Source organism: Homo sapiens, chromosome 22 (genome assembly GCF_000001405.40).
Source record: "Homo sapiens chromosome 22, GRCh38.p14 Primary Assembly".
Classification (NCBI taxonomy): Eukaryota; Metazoa; Chordata; class Mammalia; order Primates; family Hominidae; genus Homo; species Homo sapiens.
Genome location: NC_000022.11, coordinates 48,931,516 through 48,949,426, shown reverse-complemented (window position 1 = coordinate 48,949,426; position 17,911 = coordinate 48,931,516). Strand labels below are relative to the sequence as shown.

General features: G+C 50.7%; 4 annotated features.

Moving 5' to 3' along the window:
* Nucleotides 3,356-3,650: an enhancer, noted in NCBI's record as "tiled region #10948; HepG2 Activating DNase matched - State 8:EnhW". NCBI's record gives its function as "activates a minimal TATA promoter and a strong SV40 promoter by Sharpr-MPRA in HepG2 cells {active_cell/tissue: HepG2}" and the evidence as "EXISTENCE:reporter gene assay evidence [ECO:0000049][PMID:27701403]".
* Nucleotides 3,356-3,650: a silencer, noted in NCBI's record as "tiled region #10948; K562 Repressive non-DNase unmatched - State 23:Low". NCBI's record gives its function as "represses a minimal TATA promoter and a strong SV40 promoter by Sharpr-MPRA in K562 cells {active_cell/tissue: K562}" and the evidence as "EXISTENCE:reporter gene assay evidence [ECO:0000049][PMID:27701403]".
* Nucleotides 7,204-7,404: a silencer, noted in NCBI's record as "peak4515 fragment used in MPRA reporter construct". NCBI's record gives its function as "represses an SCP1 promoter by STARR-seq MPRAs in K562 erythroleukemia cells {active_cell/tissue: K562}" and the evidence as "EXISTENCE:reporter gene assay evidence [ECO:0000049][PMID:32103011]".
* Nucleotides 8,509-8,678: an enhancer, noted in NCBI's record as "experimental_63573 CRE fragment used in MPRA reporter constructs". NCBI's record gives its function as "activates a minimal promoter by MPRAs in K562 erythroleukemia cells, with activity observed for the introgressed 22:49336646 variant allele {active_cell/tissue: K562}" and the evidence as "EXISTENCE:reporter gene assay evidence [ECO:0000049][PMID:34662402]".

Here is a 17,911-nt window from a genome sequence, read left to right as displayed (position 1 = left end):
GGTTGGAAAAGAGGTGAGGCTGGAGGAGGGGGTGAGGCTGGAGGAAGGTGTGAGGGTAGAGGAGGGGTGAGGCTGGAGGAGGAGTGAGGCTGGAAGAGAGGGTGAGGTTGGAGGAGGGAGTGAGGCTGGAGGAGGGAGTGAGGCTGGAGGAGGGAGTGAGGCTGGAGGAGGGGATGAGGTTGAAGGATGGGTGAGGCTGGAGGAGGTAGTGAGGTTGGAGGAGGGAGTGAGGCTGGAGGAGGGGGGGATGCTGGAGTGGGAGTTGAGGCTGGAGGAGGGAGTGAGGCTGGAATGGGGGGGGAGGCTGGAGTAGGGGGAGGCTGGAGTGGGAGTGAGGCTGGAGAGGGAAGTGAGGCTGGAGAGGGAGGTGAGGCTGGAGGAGGGAGTGAGTCTGGAGTGGAGGGGAGGCTGGAGTGGGAGTGAGTCGAGTAGGGGGAAGGCTGGAGTGGGAGTGAGGTTGGAGTGGGGAGGTGAGGCTGGAGGAGGGAGTGAGTCTGGAGGGGAGGCTGGAGTGGGAGTGAGGCTGGAGTGGGGGGAGGCTGGAGAGGGAGGTGAGGCTGGAGGAGGGAGTGAGGCTGGAGTGGGGGACAAACATCCTAGCTGGGTGCAGCGTCAGGTGCCGTTGCCCCTTGCATTCATTGTGATTCAGGGTCCACTCTTTGTGGCGGGTTCCACAAGTGGCAACAGGGACCTGGGTATCTAACACCGGCATCATGAGGCCCAGGCTTGGGATCTGTGCTGAGGCTCCAGGTATTATTTGGAGCTGTTGAGGGGCGAAGGAGATCAACTTGTACCCAGCAGCTCTCCCCTCCTCCTCATCTCTGCAGGTCAGTGCAATGATCAATTGTCTGGCAGTTCCACCCACTAAAGTCATAAAAGGTTAAAAAGTCATTAAGCATTTGCTATGTGTCCCTATCAAAGTCATCTTAATTTTGCCAAGACATGTAAGGTTCTCTCTGGGGAGACATGCTCTCAGGATTTGAGTGCCATCCCTCAGCAGAATAGCAGGTGCAAAGTTGTGTGTCAAAGCCCTGAGCAATGGGCTACGAATCGGCTCATCCCCCAGCTGGAGACTTTAAATTCCTGCCTTTGGAAGGTGGGCTCCCTCCAGGCAATAAGTGTGTCAGCTGTCACTCAGCATTATGTAATCTCCCTGCCAGGGGACATCCATGGGCATTGTGGATTGATGCTGTGTGCACCAGCGTGCCCACTGGAGATGCCCGATAATGCTCCTCATTTCTGCCCATTATGTCACTTACAGTTTGAGAAACAGGAGCTCAATATTGTTGGGATATTGATATTTTCCTGCATTGGCCAATCACACCTTCCATGGCTGCTAAAGACCTTTCTCTTCCTTTTTATACATCTGCTGAAAGCAAAGTCTTCAGCAATAAAGTGTTAATGTAACCCAGCGTCCTCTCCGGGTGACAGAGCGGAGCAGAGGACAGTTTCTAAACTCTCTGAATGAGCGTGCCCCTCATTCAGAGGGGCACAATATCTCCGTCCTCACCCTGGAGGTTCTGGTCATAATCTGGGGACACCATCTCTTCCCAGGCCTTTGCCAACACTTGTTCATCTGGTCTACCCACCTCCAGACTTTTCCCCTTTGAGGGAGATGGCCATGGTGGGGAGCCTGGTGAGGGGGCTACACAAGGAACAGGATGAGTGGCTTTGGTTTCTCCCTTAGGATGGGGGTGCTGACTCCTAGGAGAGAAGTGCAGGGGTCAGAACTCTCCACAGTTCAGCTGAAATATGCTCCTGGGCAAGTCCTTTGTCCTCCTCTCAGCTCTTCCTCTTCACCTGTTAGGAATTCTGTTGGAATATACATATATATATATATATAATATATATATATTTTTTTAAGATAGAGTTTCGCTATTGTTGCCCATGCTGGAGTGCAATGGCACGATCTCAGCTCACTGCAACCTCTGCCTCCCGGGTTCAAGCGATTCTCCTGCCTCAGCCTCCCAAGTAGCTGGGATTACAAGTGCCCACCACCAAGCCTGGCTATTTTATTATTTTTAGTAGAGACGGAGTTTTTCCCCATGTTGGCCAGGCTGGTCTTGAACTCCTGACCTCAGGTGATCCGCCTGCCTCCCAAAGTGCTGGGATTACAGGCTTGAGCCACTGGGCCCAGCCAAAAACCTTTAATAGTGTGAATTTGACCATCGTTCCCCCAGCACACACACCAGTTGCACTCGCAGAGGTAAGACCACTTCATTCTTGGGCGGAATCACTGCAGTTCTACAATTCATGTTTCGTGGCACGTGCATGTGTGTGCGTTTTGCTCTCAGCAAAGCACTGGAGACCTCGCACAAAACAAACAACTATTTTTATTTCACTTAGTATCATGAACACAATATCAGGAGTAAAAAACAGGTGCAATCGGGTCCCTGTGCCATTTATGCTTGTTGGAACACGGGCTTCTTTCTGTTCTGAGTTCGAAGTGGCTTCTGGTTTGATTGTAAAGCGTGGCCTTCAATGGCCCTAATGAGTTGGTGTTCCATTGATGTGCAGCCTCACGGAACACCCACCCATTGTGGGCCTATGAGACGTCTGCGCTCCTGAGGCATCACAAATTCTGTCTGCAAATGAAGCACTGAGGGGCCTGGGCGTGTGTATTTCATGGATCTCCTCTGCTCACTCCTTTGTCCCATTGGACCTCAATATTGTTAATTATTAAGAATTGCAGGACAGGCTGGGCACAGTGGCTCATGCCTGTAATCCCAGCACTTTGGGAGGCCAAGGCGGGTGGATCACCTGAGGTCAGGCAAAACCCTGTCTCTACTAAAAATACAAAAATTAGCTGGGCGTGGTGGCGGGCACCTGTAATCCCAGCTACTCAGGAGGCTGAGGCAGGAGAATTGCTTGAACCCAGGAGGTGGAGGTTGCAGTGAGCTGAGATCATGCCATTGCACTCCAGCCTGGGTGACAGAGCGAGACTCTGTCTCAAAAAAACCGAATTGCAGGTCAAGGACAGCGAGCCTCAGACCAAGCGCGGGGGCTTCTGAGGATTGGACAGATTCCACGCCTGTGCCGCCAGCCCAAGCCCCCACAGCGGAGGTTTGCACCACGAGGGCAAGGAGTTGGTGGGGCCTCTGCACATCCTGGTGCCCACACTTCCAAGAGAGCCTGAAGAGGGACCGGACATCCACTTTTCCCTGAAACAGTGATGTCCTCTCCCCAGGCCCCAAGCTCTGTGGGTCCGTCTTGTCTCCTGTCCTGTTCTCTCCTGTGATATCATTGATCCTTATGCTCAAGCCTCCCTCCCTCCGTATGCCCTGCTGCAAGAACCCCACCCCACCTCATGGCAGCCAGGTCTGGTCTGGGGGTGAAGCTCAGGATACACAGAACCTGGGCTATAGAATCTTGCCTGAGCCCACCCAGAGACTCGGAGCTGCCACACCAAGGGTGCCCAGAGACTCCCACAGGGAATACCTGGAGACCACGCCTCCTCCAGCACTGGGGCAGCACAGCCCAAAGTTCAGAGCCAGACAGGTCTGTTTGGGCAGGGCCAGCTATCCTGGGCCGGCCTCAGTGTGGGGCAAGGTTCAGAGGCAGAGATGCTCAGTGCTGGGCACATGGGCTTGGGGTCAGCCTGTCCGGGCCAGGACCAGCACCATCCCCACCGCTGGGAGGCCTCACACACACACCTCCACGTGCCCATCTGTGCCTGCCTCGTGCAGATGTTGTGAGGATCACAGGGAGCGTGGATGGAAGGACTTAGGCCAGCACCAGGTACATCACGCACACTCACGGCCCGAGGGCTGTCAGGAGGATCTTAGGGACAACCATCCCTCATACGGGGCAGACAGGGCAGAAGGAGCATCCAGACACAGGTCAGGAGCCTCTGGCAGCGGCACTGGTTATGAGGCAGCGTCACCGGGGAAGTCAGAGAAGGACCCAGCTCTGGGCCCCATCCAAGCCCCCAGGACCGGAAAGAGCAGTGGAAGCCCCCACGCTCCCGGAGATTCTGATGCAGCCCTCGGCCTCCTGTCCCTGCTCCACCTGCTCAGACCTGCCCCCTCCAGACGGAGCCCTGGGCCGCTGCCTCAGTCTGCTGGGGCTCCGTGGTCAGCCGCCAGCTGGGTCCCACCTGTCTGAGCCGCAATGGCACCCTTGAAGACAAAGCCGCCTGGGCTGATGTACCTGGTGCTGTCCTGGGTCCTTCCACCCCTGCTCCCTGTGATCCTCACAATGTCCGCACGAGGCAGGCACAGATGGGTGCATGGAGGCGCGTGTGTGAGGCCTCCCAGCCGCCAGCTGGGTCCTGCCTGCCTGAGCTGCAGTGGTGCCCGCTGGACACGAACCCTCCCTCTCAGCTCCTGCCGTGCCTCCTGCTCTGGCCCTCCAGTAGAACCTGCTCAAGACGCGGGAAGCGTATTCTGCCCCTCAGAGCCTGGCAACCCATCTTTCTGCTGCACGACAACTCCTTGCCCCAGTTTCTCGGCTCTGGGGACACCCATGGCCATTAAGAAGGGGGACAGTATAGGGGGAGCCGAGCTGTTTGGAGCAGCCGGGCAGCCGTTCACTCCGGCGGGAGACACCCTCCGTTGGCGTCCGTGGAGCCGGGCTGTGCTTCTGAGCTGGGCTGATGGCCTCACGCTCTGATTGCTGATGGATTCTATTTAAAACGGGACTGGAGGAGGGAAGTGGGAAGACGGATTGGGCCAGATGCTTGGGAGGGACCCAGCTCTGAAAGCAGAGAATGGGGTTTCCTTCTGAGTGGGTCCCTCCAGCCAGGGCCCAGCTGGCCTCTAGCAAGGGCGTCTGCAGCATCCCAGGCTGATGGCAAAGGGGACAGGGCACACCCAGGGTGCAATTAGGGCCCTTGGAGAAACTTCCCACAGGCATCTGGGTGGCTGCAGTGCCAAAAATGTACACTTTAGGAAGAGCCGTGGGATTCCGGGGGAGGAAACAGCCCGGGGTCAGCCTCCCGTGGCTGCTGGGAAAGTTAACACAAACTCAGTGGCTTAAAACAGCAGAAAGGTGTTGTCTTACAGTTCTGGAGGCTGGAACTCGGGGAAAAGGTGTCGGCAGGGTGGGTTCCTCCGGAGGGCTCTGCGGGAGAGTCCATCCAGGCTGCCGTCCACCCCTGGAGGCCGCCATCCTTGGGGTCCCTCGTCTCTGCCTCCATCGTGGTTGCAGTGTGGCCCTCCCAGGGCATCTGCCTCTGTCTCTCTCCTCTTCTGAGGACACCAGGCGTTTCACGCTTAGGGCCCACTGGATTCCAGTGTGACTGCATCTTAACTACTTCACCTACGAAGACCTTATTTCCAAATAAGCTCAGCCTGAGGTTCCAGGGATGAGAACTTCAGCAACACAGTTCAGTCTCCAACAGGGCCCTCCCACCAGGCCACAGCCTGTGGAAGGAGGGTTTCCTGGCCTGGTGGAGGGGAGCCCCAGGCTGCTCAGCTGAGCCGGGGAGGCTCACGGGCCCCGCCTGCTGGACAGTGTGTAGGGAAGCAGCGGATGCTTCTCTCCCTGCCCAGAGGATGACCAGTGAAAACGCAGGTGCCAGCACCCTCTGTGCCGTAACGGACTGGTCCACTCCCCTCACTTCCCTGTGCTGGTTACCCCATGACGGATGTTTGCCGAGAGCTTTGTCTGGCCCCTGTGACGGACGTTTACTGAGAGCTTTGTCTGGCTGGACCTTGAACTGGCTTCATTCCACGCTCAGTTTTGATCCCAGAAAACTCTGCTTGTCCCAGAATGCACACTGCTCTCAGCTCTAAGTAATGCTGCTTCCAGAGATCGGTGCATTTTTAGGGTGAGCTGTGTGAGTAATGGTGTGATTTCAGGTGCAGCAGTTCACATACAAGGGACACATTCTGGAGTGTGTGGCTCTGCTACAGCCTCTCAAATCATCTCTCTGACCTGTGAGGAAAACCAGGCTGGGCTTTAGATGCCTGGACACAAGTTGGCAAGATTAGGAGCCACTGAGTTTCTAAGCTGGGAGCGTTATCGGGCATCACCTCGACCATCTCTTGTTATTCACTCATTTACATTCATCCTTGTGTCCAATCACAGATACTCACTCATTCATCCTTGTGTCCAATCACAGATAGTCACTCAGTCATCCTTGTGTCCAATCACAAATATCGACGAGGGCTTACTCTGTGTTAGCACCAGGCTGTGCATGGGGGATGCTGTGGTGCCAGGCTGGTGAAGCGCCTCCATCACGGTGCCCATGGCCCCAAGAGAAAGGGCCTTGACTCACAGCTTCGAGTCCGAGGGTGGGGCAGAGCCAGGCAGGCTGTGTGAGAGCTCAGCTGGACGGGAACAGAAGGCCGCCCACGCTGGAGCCCTGAGCAAGGCCTGAAGGAGGAAGCAATCACTTTCACACATGGCATAGGCAGGGCTGGATCCTCACAGAACATTCCAGAACACACCTCCCGGGCCCCAGACCCATTTCCAGGGGCCCCAGTCTCTGCTCTTCGAAGGCCGACATCGGCATGTGTGTCTTCGTGTCCAGAGCCCAGTGCCCTGTGACCATAAACGTGGGCAAGCAACTGCTGTCCTGGGTGCTGACTCTGCGCCCAGCTCTCCTCATCACTGTGCACCACCCGGCATTCTAGCAATTAATTACTGAACCAGGAGGATGGAAGAGGCAGGAATTGGACTAAGCTAAGGGGAGGGACCTGGTGATGAGGACCAGGAGGGATGGAGGGGAGGCCCTCCAAGCCTGCAGGACGGCCCCCTGTGTTTATAGGCAGCACCTATTCAACAGGATGCTGACTCTCCTGCACTCTCTTCAGAAATCTCTGTGGCGAGGGTGATGATCTAGCCCCAACAGGCAGGGCTGGAGGCTGGATGGAGTTTCACTTTCTAGTGAGTGAGCCCTGAGATCAGATTGGGGGGACAGCTGCCCCTGCTTTGGATGTAGACGAGAGCCCCCTCTTTCTGAAATCTCAGACGTAGAGCTGTGTGCATGTAGAGGGCAAAGTGCACCCACAGCAGTGATCCAGGCCCCAGGCCCAGGCCCTCCACTTCCAGTGGCTTTTCATGTTAGGTCTGGGGCCTCCTGTCTGCAGCCAGGCCTGGCTTGCCCAGCAATTCAGAGAAGGCAGAGCAGGGCCCTGCCAAACCCCCTGGGATCTGCAGAGTCTGGAAGCTGGGCCTTGTGGGAGGAGGTGTGGCCTGGGGAGTGCTGCAGTGTCCTGAGGGTGGGGTCTGAGTTGGGGTGGGCCGGGCCATGACAGGGTCTCTCTGAGGCTGCCCAGGTCAGCTCTGTGGTGCCTGATGTCGGCGTCGGCCCCACATTGCCCACTGCAGTCCAGCTGTCTCCCGTAAAACTCCAAGCCCAGCACCTGTTCCTCCCACCTGCTCCTCTGGGAGCCTCTTTCTGTCTCCTGTGGCCTTTCACCCTGCCGCCCCAGGCTGGTGCTCTCCGGCTAGAAACAGAGAACTCCGGCTCCAAACTGACTTTCCCGGGAGGCCTTGGAGAACTGATGCCTCTCACCGCTGATATCAGCTCTGGAGGCAGAGAGAGGCCATCCTGAGAGGCACTGTACACCCTCCTGGGTCCTGTCCCCGTAAAGGGAACTTCCCTAGAAGCTGCTGATTTACAGGGATGGGGACCTGGGAGGGCGTAAGGCGCCCCTCGGAATGGCCGCAAACAGCCCCCCAAAGCCACCTGCACGATGGCCCTCACCCCACAGTCAGGACAGGATCCTGACCCCAGTAGTCAGCCCAGCCTGCAGTGCCCAGGATGAGCCAGTGGTGTTCCAGGGAGGAGAAAATCCATCTGAGGAACCTCCCAACCCAACTTTTAAAGGCCTCACCGAGCACTTCCTTCTCCCTCTTCCCAAATTGGAAAGCATCGGTGCAGGATGACCAACCCTCCTGATGATAGTTCGGAGAAAAATAAGATCCCAGCCCCAAAGGACAGCAAGTCCCCCGCGAGGCCGTTGCCTGTGGTGGGCGGTGGCAGGAATGCTGCACCTGCTTTAAAGAAGGGCCAGCCACCTGTTCAACCCCAGATCCCAGGAATTAGTGCCGCTGCATGGATCCGCATGGATTCCCCAGGCCTCTCCCACATCTGAGGCTCCCGGGTGGGTGAGTACACGCCCAGAAAGCCCCGTCATTCCTACAAACCCCCCGCCCCCCACCCACTGCCCCCAGGAGCAAAGAAGAGAGACCAAGATCCAGGGCACGGCTGCAGGACCTGAGCCCCTCTTTCAAGATGTAGAGATACCTGTGGGATATGAGGCAGGCAGGACCCTGTGCCACTTCTACCTGGGAGCACCATGCAGTGAGTCCAGGTCCTGGGAAGGGTGACAGGGTCATGCCCATACCGCAGGACACCCAGAGCACCCCTCCAGTGTGGCTGGCATCGGAGCCTGGGCCCAGCACGGTTTTCTCCCTGGCTCCTACTGTGAGCCCTGACTCAGGCCTCGGTCTGCAGAGTGTGAGCCTGAAGCTGGTGCCCAGAGGGCTGAGTACCTGACCCGAGTTGCACAGCTGGCTCTGGCAGACCAGGTGGGCCATTTCTGCCCCGTACATTTCCCTTCCCCCACCCGTCAAACACGTAACAGGGACACGCCACGGGACTGGGAGTCCACAGATAGACGAGGGTCTTGCAAACCAGAGTGTGCCAGCCAGAGTGAGGAAGTCTCATGACACGCGCATGGTGCTCTAGTTTTCTCATCTTCCCTGAAAAACTGCACCATGGGGATCTCTGACTTGGGATCCAATCTTAGTGCCACCTACACAGTAAGCCCGAAATTACTTAGACCAGCATGGCACAGCGGAGGCGCTACTGGCGGTAAGAGGCCTGACCTACTCTGGGACTCTGGGCGTCCTCTGGTGAGCTGGACCCTCTGAAGGACTCCAACCATGTGCCTGAGCACCAGGAGAGTTGTGGCAGGGAGCCCTTCTCATGGCAGGGCCCCCTCTGTGTGTCTGCTTCCCCCAGTTCTTCCCTGGAGGGACTCATCCTCAGCTAGGCTGCCACCTCCTCCAGGCAGGCTTCCCTGACCACCCTGCCTCAGGCTGTGCTTCCTGGGCCTCGGGGCTTCCTGGATGTCACTGCCTGGCTTCTGCCTGCCTCCCCCACCAGACAGTGGCTCCCTTAGAGCAGCACACAGAGGCCGTCTTCTCCTGCGCAGCTCAATGCTTTGTCCTGGACCGAACCCTCACTCACTGCGTGCCTCCCTTCCGTGAACTTTTGACAGGTGAACCCTTATTTGCTGGTCACTGTATGCTCAGCAGTGAGTGCTGTGCACAGTTGGTAATAAGCTCTAGGTAACCTGGGAGTGAATGAATGAGCAGGGGGATGAGTGGGACGGCCTCTAGAGAGGCACGCTGAGCCCTGGGGACGGTGCCTTGCGGGCGCCTTCTGGACAGGGACCTCCAGGGCCAGGGCGGGGGCTGGGAGAGGCTGCCCCACCCCGAACACTGCGCCGCATTCCTTCCCTCCCCAGTAAATAAGACGTTCGCTCCCACTCAGAGTGCTGCTTCCCAACTTGATTTATTGCCTTCTTATTACAAAGTCCTTCTAGAGGTATGGATTTTTTTTAATACAATTTACATTTTGGGGAAATGTTTCACTCTCCGGCCGCCTCCCCCTGAGTCTGAATGAGAGCTGCCCGTGGCTGCTCAGTCTCCCCCGCACCTGTGGCCAGGCAGGGAAAACCCGGCCTCGGGGGGCGGGGGCGCCCACTAGGCTGAGACACACACGGTGAGAGCTCACAGGCCAGGCCTACTCCCGCCAAGGCATCTGAGCCTCCCAGGGCAGGGTGTCCCGCTGGCTGGGCCTCTGGAGGCCCGGCCTGTGGGGGCTGAGCTACTCCTGCTGGGGCCAGGCTGGTCCCTGCCTTCCGCTGGGCCCCTGCCGCATGGGGTACCTCTGCCATCCCTGGAGCGGAGGGGAGCTCCGAGGAGGGCACGCTGTTGTCTGAATTCTCTCAGGTATCCCATCCCAGGCAGCGGGAAACTCATCACCGCCCTGGGAGAGGCTGGCAGGTATCGATCCCCATTTGCTAATAGAAAACACAGCTCAGAGGCGGAAAGTGACTCTCCAAAGTCCCCCAGTTCATAAAGGCTGGAATTAATAAGGCCAGATAGATAAAGGAACACTTAGAGGAGATCCCGGAGGTGCAGTTGCTCTGTAACCTGCAAAGCCCTTACCGACATTTAATTTTTATTAGTTGTATTAATATATGAGATACCGAAGGAAGACCTTTGTAAATTAGGTGCAGAACTAAAGTATTAGTTATGAATATACATGATAATAACAGAAATAGATGAGTTCACAGAGCTGTGAGCTGGGGGTCAAAGCCCAGGCCCTGGTCACTCAGCCTGCTCAAACCTTTTGGTGGCCTCAGCCACTGGCCCTTCCTTTTTCCTCCTGGGCCTTAGTGGACTGACTTTTTCCAGCTTGCTTTGCAGATCTTACTTGGCTGGTGAATGCGAACAAGGAGTCAGTGCCATCCCCAACCCTGACCCCTAAGTCTCACCAGGAGCTTTCAGCTCCGTCTCTTTCCATCTGCTGGCTGAGCCCCGAGAACTCCAGGGATGGCGAGGAGCCCGGGCTGCATGGGAAGGAGGTTGGCCCTCGGGATGACCAACCAGGGGTGGACGACACTGCCCCTGCAGTGATCCAACATGGTCAGAAGCCTGTGCTTTGTTAAAGCTCTTGAAATCTGGGGCTGGCTGATGGATCCGGGTGCTTACTCTGATTATAGAGATTATGACCTTGAAGTTCAGGGCTGCTGTGCAAATAAAGAAAAACAGAAAAGCAACAACAAAACAAATACATACGGCATTGACTTTGGCAGGAGAAGTGAGGGAAGGAGGAAGGAGAGGCCAGACAGCGCCCTGATGCCCTGGAGGTCAGTTTCTGGCTGTTACAACAAATTACTCCAGATGTGGTGGCTTAAAACCTCAGAAAATGTATTCTCTTACAGTTCTGGAAGAGAGAAACCCAAAATTAGTCCTATGGGGCTGAAATCCAGGCATCGGCAGTGCTGGCTCCTTCCGGAGCCTCCAGGAGGATCTGTGCCTCACATCTCACAGTCTCTGTGCCTGCTACCATTCCTGGGCTCCTGGCCGCATCGCCTGCATCTCTGCCTCCATCTATGCATTTGAGATTCCACCTAAAGAGAGTCTGTGCAGTGTTTGTCTTTCTGCATCTGCTTATTTCACTCAGCATAATGTCCCCCAGGTTCATTTATGTTGTTGCAAATAGCAGATTTTCCTTCTTTTCTCTTTTTTTCTCTTTCTTTCCTCTTTTTTTTTTTTTTATAGCGTTTTACTTTGTCACCCAGGCTGGAATGCAGTGGCATGATCTCAGCTTACTTCAACCTCCGCCTCCGAGGTTCAAGTGATTCTCCTGCCTCAGCCTCCTGAGTAGTTGGGATTACAGGCACCTGCCACCACACCCAGCTCATTTTTGTATTTTTAGTAGAGACGGGGTTTCACCATGTTGTCCAGGCTGGTCTCAAACTCCTGACCTCAGGTGATCCGCCTGCTTCAGCCTCTCAAAGTGCTGGGATTACAGGCGTGAGCCACTGCGCTTGGCTAATTTTTGTATTTTTAGTAGAGACAGGGTTTCACCATGTTGGTCAGGCTGATCTTCAACTCCTGACCTCAGGTGATCCACCCATCTCAGCCTTCCAAAGTGCTGGGATTACTTGCGTGAGCCACTGTGCCTGGCCTTTCCTTCTATTTTTAAGACTGAAAAGTACTCCACTGTGCATCTATAACACAGTTTTTAAGTCCACCTGTCAGCAGACACTTAGGCTGTTTCCACGTGTATTATTTTTAATAGCACAGCGATGCATACGGGCCTGCAGGTGTGTCTTAGAGGCATTCGTTAAACATCAGCAACCCTTGGCTTCCAACCTTGCACTGAGGAGTGTGTGAAGACTTTCCAGTCCCGGGACTCTGAGTGTGTATGAGAGGACAAGGTAAGAAGAGGAAATTCCCAGGAGTGAAGCAGGGTGCAGCAATCACCCACAGGGCGGCTCCGGTCACACAGCAGGACGGGGCTCCTCTCAGAGCTGCTCACCCAGGTCGGGAGCTGTGGCAGTCCACCCGGCAGGATTCTAGGACTGCCTGGAGCCCGTGGGTGTTGCGTGTCTCTCCCTCGGTCCTCCAGTGAGTGGTGCTTTCTGTGTGCTTTGTTGGTGATGTATGTCTTTTATTGTTGCTAAACATAAGGGACATAGTTTACCCAGGGGCCCCAGCATGACAAGCATTGTACTAGTGGCTTGTGTTTTCTCATTGAAACCTGATACTTTTTTTATCCTTACTTTCTTGGAGTTGAAACTCAAGTATAAAGATGCTAAGTATGCTGTCCACACAGTACTTGGCTAAGTCAGCACAGAACAAAAACGTGGAACCCATTTTCCTGACTTCAGACTAACTCTTTTTCTTCTGTATCCTGTTCTTCTCCACCCCAAGCCAGCCATGGTTATCATTGGAAAATTCTTCTTCTTTTAAAATAGTGATCAGAGTACATTTCTGCTGTAACACAATGGATCAGAGAGATTTCTATTCCATTTCCAAGTAAAGCCAAATACAAACAACAAAAGGAATAAAACATAAAGAGGAAAAAAAGCACATCCAATGAGACCAGAGACAACCGTAACCATAAACCTTGGATTGTGATGAAAAGTGTCCAACACAATGGTATCTGGGCAAAGTGTGAAAGGCGGTGAGAAATACCTGCAAAATGTTATGGATCTCAGCAAAGAGACCAAACTCTCCAAGAGCTCAGAGAAGTCTCGCCCATGACCTCTTGGCCAGGACAATGTCCTTGCATGCTGCTCTGGATCAGAGTGAAGGCCACCCAGGCAAACGGCACAGACATGCACCTGTGCAGGTGGGTCACAGTGGGGTGTGCAGTGGCCACATCCCTTTGTCACAGCTGAGCAGAGTCACAAAGGAGAGAGATTCAGGCCAAAAGCAAGAAGCGAAGGCTAAGGCAGAGTTGTAACTGCCTGAACAGGTATTGAAGTCATATCCCATTCCACAGAGAGCTGCTCAGCAAAGCCTGGAAGACCTATTGCTTTAACTCTTTCCTGTCTGCACTGAGAATACTCACCAGTGGTGCTTGTGGCTGCAGTGTTTACCTTAAGACAACTTTGCCACAAAATAATGTTGCTTTCATGATTGTTTCTGCATTGCTGTAGTATATCGACTTTGGAAACAAAAGACATCATTCTATGTATATCATTCTGTTTTTAGTAGTGGTATTTTCATTTACAAAATGTAGTAATTCTCGATCACTGAAAATGTCAAATCCTAGAAAATGTAGTATTCCTATGTGTGACATTAGTATCGTTCTCAAACAGTTGTTCACAGAAGAGTCATTTGATGCATCTGATTTTTTTTTCAAAATAGAGGATTCTGATGACTCAGATAATTCTGATGGTAGTTCTGTTTAGAAATAACTCCAAGAACGGTTTTTATATTTTATTTTCACATTGCAAATCAGTCAGATTTACTTCAGCCTCAAAGAGCGTGTTTATGTAAAATTAAATGAGCACTGGCAGAGAGCTGCACATTTGTTTTCTAAATGGGAAAAGGGTTAAGATTTTTAAGGTTAGACTGTCCACTCAGTAACTGATTTTTTTTTTTTTTTTCTGAGACGGAGTCTTGCTTTGTCTGCCAGGCTGGAGTGCAATGGTGCCGTCTCTGCTCACTGCAACCTCCATCTCCCAGGCTCTAGCAATTCTCCTGCCTCAGCCGCCCAAGTAGCTGGGATTACAGGCACCCACCACCACACCCGGTTAATTGTTGCATTTTTAGTAGAAACGGGGTTTCACCATATTGGCCAGGCTGGTTTTGAACTCCTGACCTCAAATGATCTGCCCACCTTGGCCTCCCAAAGTGCTGGGATTACAGGTGTGAGCCACTGTGCTGGCCTCAGTAACTGAATTCTAAATGAATTGAACAGAAACTTAAGTGGCTACAAACAACAGAGAATACAGAGTTTTCAAAATTAGTCCAGAAAATTACTCAACAAGGAGCACCACTGAAAATAACAACAAATAATAATAACAAACTCTAGGAAAGAGTTGGAATCTGATTTCCAGACATGCCAAATAATATTTTTTAAAATGCCCATCTTTCAACAATAACTTGAGATATGCAAAGAAACAGAAAAAGATGCTTCTCTGCAATAATAAAAGCATTAACTAGAAACTGTCCCTGAGGAATCCAGATGTTGAATTTATTAGGCAATGACTTTAAATAAGACAATTCAAATATCTTCGATGAACTAAACAAAACTGTGTCTAAAGAAGTAAATTATGAGGACAATGTTTCACTCAATAGATAATATCAATAAAGGGAAATAATTTATAAAAGAGAGATAAGAATTTGTAATTGAAAGTACAATAACTCAGAGAAAACATTTACTAGAGGGGCTTAACTGTGGGTTTGAGTTAACAGAAAAAAGAGTAAGTGAACTTACAGATAGGTCGTTTTTATTACTTAACCTGAGAAACAGGAAAAAATGGGAGTGGACAAAAATGAACAGAGCCTCAGACACCTATGCAACAACATCAGACATACTGGTGTATGCATGATAAGCTTCGTAGCAAAGGAGCAGAGAGTAGAACAGAAAAATGTTTAAAATAATAGCTGCCAAAACTCCCCAAATTTGAAAAAGATTTGTCTATGCATTCAAAAGCTCAATGAACTCTAAGTAGGATAAACTCAAAGAAATCCACAGCTAGACACATCATAGTCAAATGGTTGAAAGAGACAAAAAGAGAACTTTGAAAGCAGCAAGAGAAGAATGAGTCATTGTGTTTGAGGAAGCCGTCTAAGATGTACAGCTGACTTCTCATCAGAAGCAATGGAGGCCAGAGGCAGTGACACAACATATTCATAAGGCTGAAAGAAAAAGACTGTCAATCAAGGATTCTATATTGAGCAAAGCTATTCTTCAGAAATGAAGGAGAAATAAAGGCTCCACAAGCAAGGACTGGAAGGAAGTTCCCTCAACCTTAGATAAAAGGCTTCTATGAGAAAACCACAGTTAACATCATACTTAATGGTGAATGAGTGGATGTTTTCTTTATATGATAAGCAACAGAACAACAAAGACGTCCACTCTCTTTGCATGTGTTCAGTGTTGTACTGGAAGATCTATCCAGAGAAACTAGGCAAGAATAAGAAATAAATGATATCCAAATTTGAAAAGAGAGGTAAACATATCTCTGTTTGAAGATGGTGTAATTTTTTATGTAAAAATTATAAATAATCTACTAAACACCTATTACAATTTATAAGGGAGTTCAGCAAGTTGCAGGATATAAGATTAATATACAAAACAATTATATGTTTAAATATTAGCAATAAACAAACCAAAAATAAAGTGAAGAAAGCAATTACATTTATAAAAGCATCAAAAATAAGTAAAGCTTACAAAAGAACTATAAGACTTCAACACTAAAACCAGAAAACATTATTGGAAGAAATTATTGAAGGGAATTTTATGTGAGAAGCTGATTGTAAATTTTATATTGACATGTGTGTGACCCAAGATAGCCAAAACATTTTTGAGAATAGAGCATAACTTCTCCAATTTTAAAACTTACTATAAAGCTACAGTAATCAAGACAGTGAGGTGCTGGCATGAGGACGTTGTCTGTAGATAAATTAAATAAACTTGACAGTATAAAAATAAATTCTTACATTTTTGGTCAATTGATTTTCAACAAAGTTGCCAAGGATAGTCAATGTGAAATGATTAATCTTTTCAACAAATTTTTCTGGGTCAACTGGATATCCACATGCAAAAGAATGAAGCTGAATCCCTACCTCACACACCATATACAAACATTAACTCAAAATAAATTCTAGACCTATGGTCGGGCGTGGTGACTCATGCCTGTAATCCCAGCACTTTGGGAGACCAAGGCAGGTGGATCACAAGAGGTCAGGAGTTCAAGACCAGCCTGGCCAACATGGTGAAACCCTGACTCTACTAAAAATAAAAAAAATTAGCTAGGCATGGTAGTGTGCACCTATAGTACCAGCTACTCAGGAGGCTGAGGCATAAGAATCAACTGAACCCAGAAGGTGGAGGTTGCAGTGAGCTGAGATCAGGCCACTGCACTCCAGCCTGGGCAACAGAGTGAGACTCCATCTAAAAAAAAATAAAAAGTAAAAAATAAATAAATAAATTATAGACCTAAACTTAAGTACTAAAACTTACATTGTAGAACTCTTAGAAGAAAATATAGAAGTAAGGCTTTGTGACTTTGGGTTGCACAGTTGGTTCATAGAAACCTCACCCAAGCCTCCAAAGAGAAAAAAACCAATAGATAAATTGGACATCATTAAAATTAACAACTTTTGTGCTTCCAAGAACAGTATAAAAAATGTGGAGATAATCCACAGCATCAGAGAAAATATTTGAAATTCATATGTGTGATAAAAGACTTACATTCGGAATAAAGAATTCTTATAACTCAACACAATAAGACAGATAACACAAATAAGCAGGGATTTCAATTAATTTATCCAAAGAAGATATAAAAATGGTAAATAAGCACATGAAAAGCTACTGAAAATCTTAATAATTAGAGGACGACAAGTCGAAACGTAATAAGGTATTATTTCAGACCCGATAGGATGGTTAAAATAAAAACAGAGACAATAATGAGTGTTGATACAAACATGAAGGAACTGGAACTTGAATGTGTTATTGTTTGGAATATAAAATGGTACTGACCTTCTGGAATACAGTTTGGCAGTTTTCTAACACAGAGTTACCATAGCCTGGTGGTTCCTCTCCTCGGGAGATGCTCAAGAGAAATGAAAACCTACGTCTACACAAACCTTTGTTCGTGAATGTTTCTAGCAGCTTTATTCATAGTAGCCAAAAAGCAGAGACAACCCGGATACCCATCACGTGAAAATAGTGAGGCCTATCCCCACGATGGAATAGTATTCGGCAATAAAAAATGAATACAGTACGGTGGTGGCCAATTCTGTGTTTCAAGCTGAGTGGGCCGAGGGATGCCCAGGTGTCAGGTTAAGCCATGTTTCTGTTCTCACTTACAAGTGGGAGCTGAATGATGAGAACACATGGACACACAGAGGGAACAACAGATATTGGGGCCTGTTGGAGGGGGGAGGGTAGGAGGAGGGAGAGGATCAGGAAAAGTCACTAATGGGTACTAGGCTTAGTGCTGGAGTGATGAAATAATCTGTACAACAAACCCCCATGACACAAGTTTACCTACGTAACAAACCTGGACTTGTCCTTCTGAACTTAAAAGTTAAAAAGATAGGCCGGGTGCAGTGGCTCACGCCTGTAATCCCAGCACTTTGGGAGGCTGAGGTGGGTCGATCACGAGGTCAAGTGTTCAAGACAGCCATGGCCAACATGGCAAAACCCTGTCTCTACTAAAAATACAAAAATTAGCTGGGCATGGTGGCATGCGCCTATAGTCCCAGCTACTCAGGAGGCTGAGGCAGGAGGATTGCTTGAACCTGAGAGACAGAGGTTGCAGTGAACCGAGATCGCGCCACTGGACTCCAGCCTGGAGACAAAATGAGACTCTCAAAAGAAAAAAAGTTAAAAAAATAGATAAATAAACAGTATTTCTAAGCATGTCTGTGAGGGCATTTGCAGGAGAGATTAGCGTTTGAACTGGTGCACTGGGTAAGGCAGATGGATCCCCTCCGTGTGGGTGCCATCCAATCTGTCGAGGGTCTGTCAGAGCAAAACAGGGAGGGGCGGTTGAGGTAGCTCTGCCTGACCCCCTGAGCTGAGGCATTGATCTTCTGCCCTCGGCACTGCTGGTTCTTTGGTCCTCAGACTTGGAGTGGAATCTGCGCCATCAGCTTTCCAGCCACCTCCAAATGGCCCTGTGGTGCTCTCCTGGGTCTACAGCTTGGAAGCAGCAGATGGTGGGACTTCTCAGCTTTCACAATTGCATGA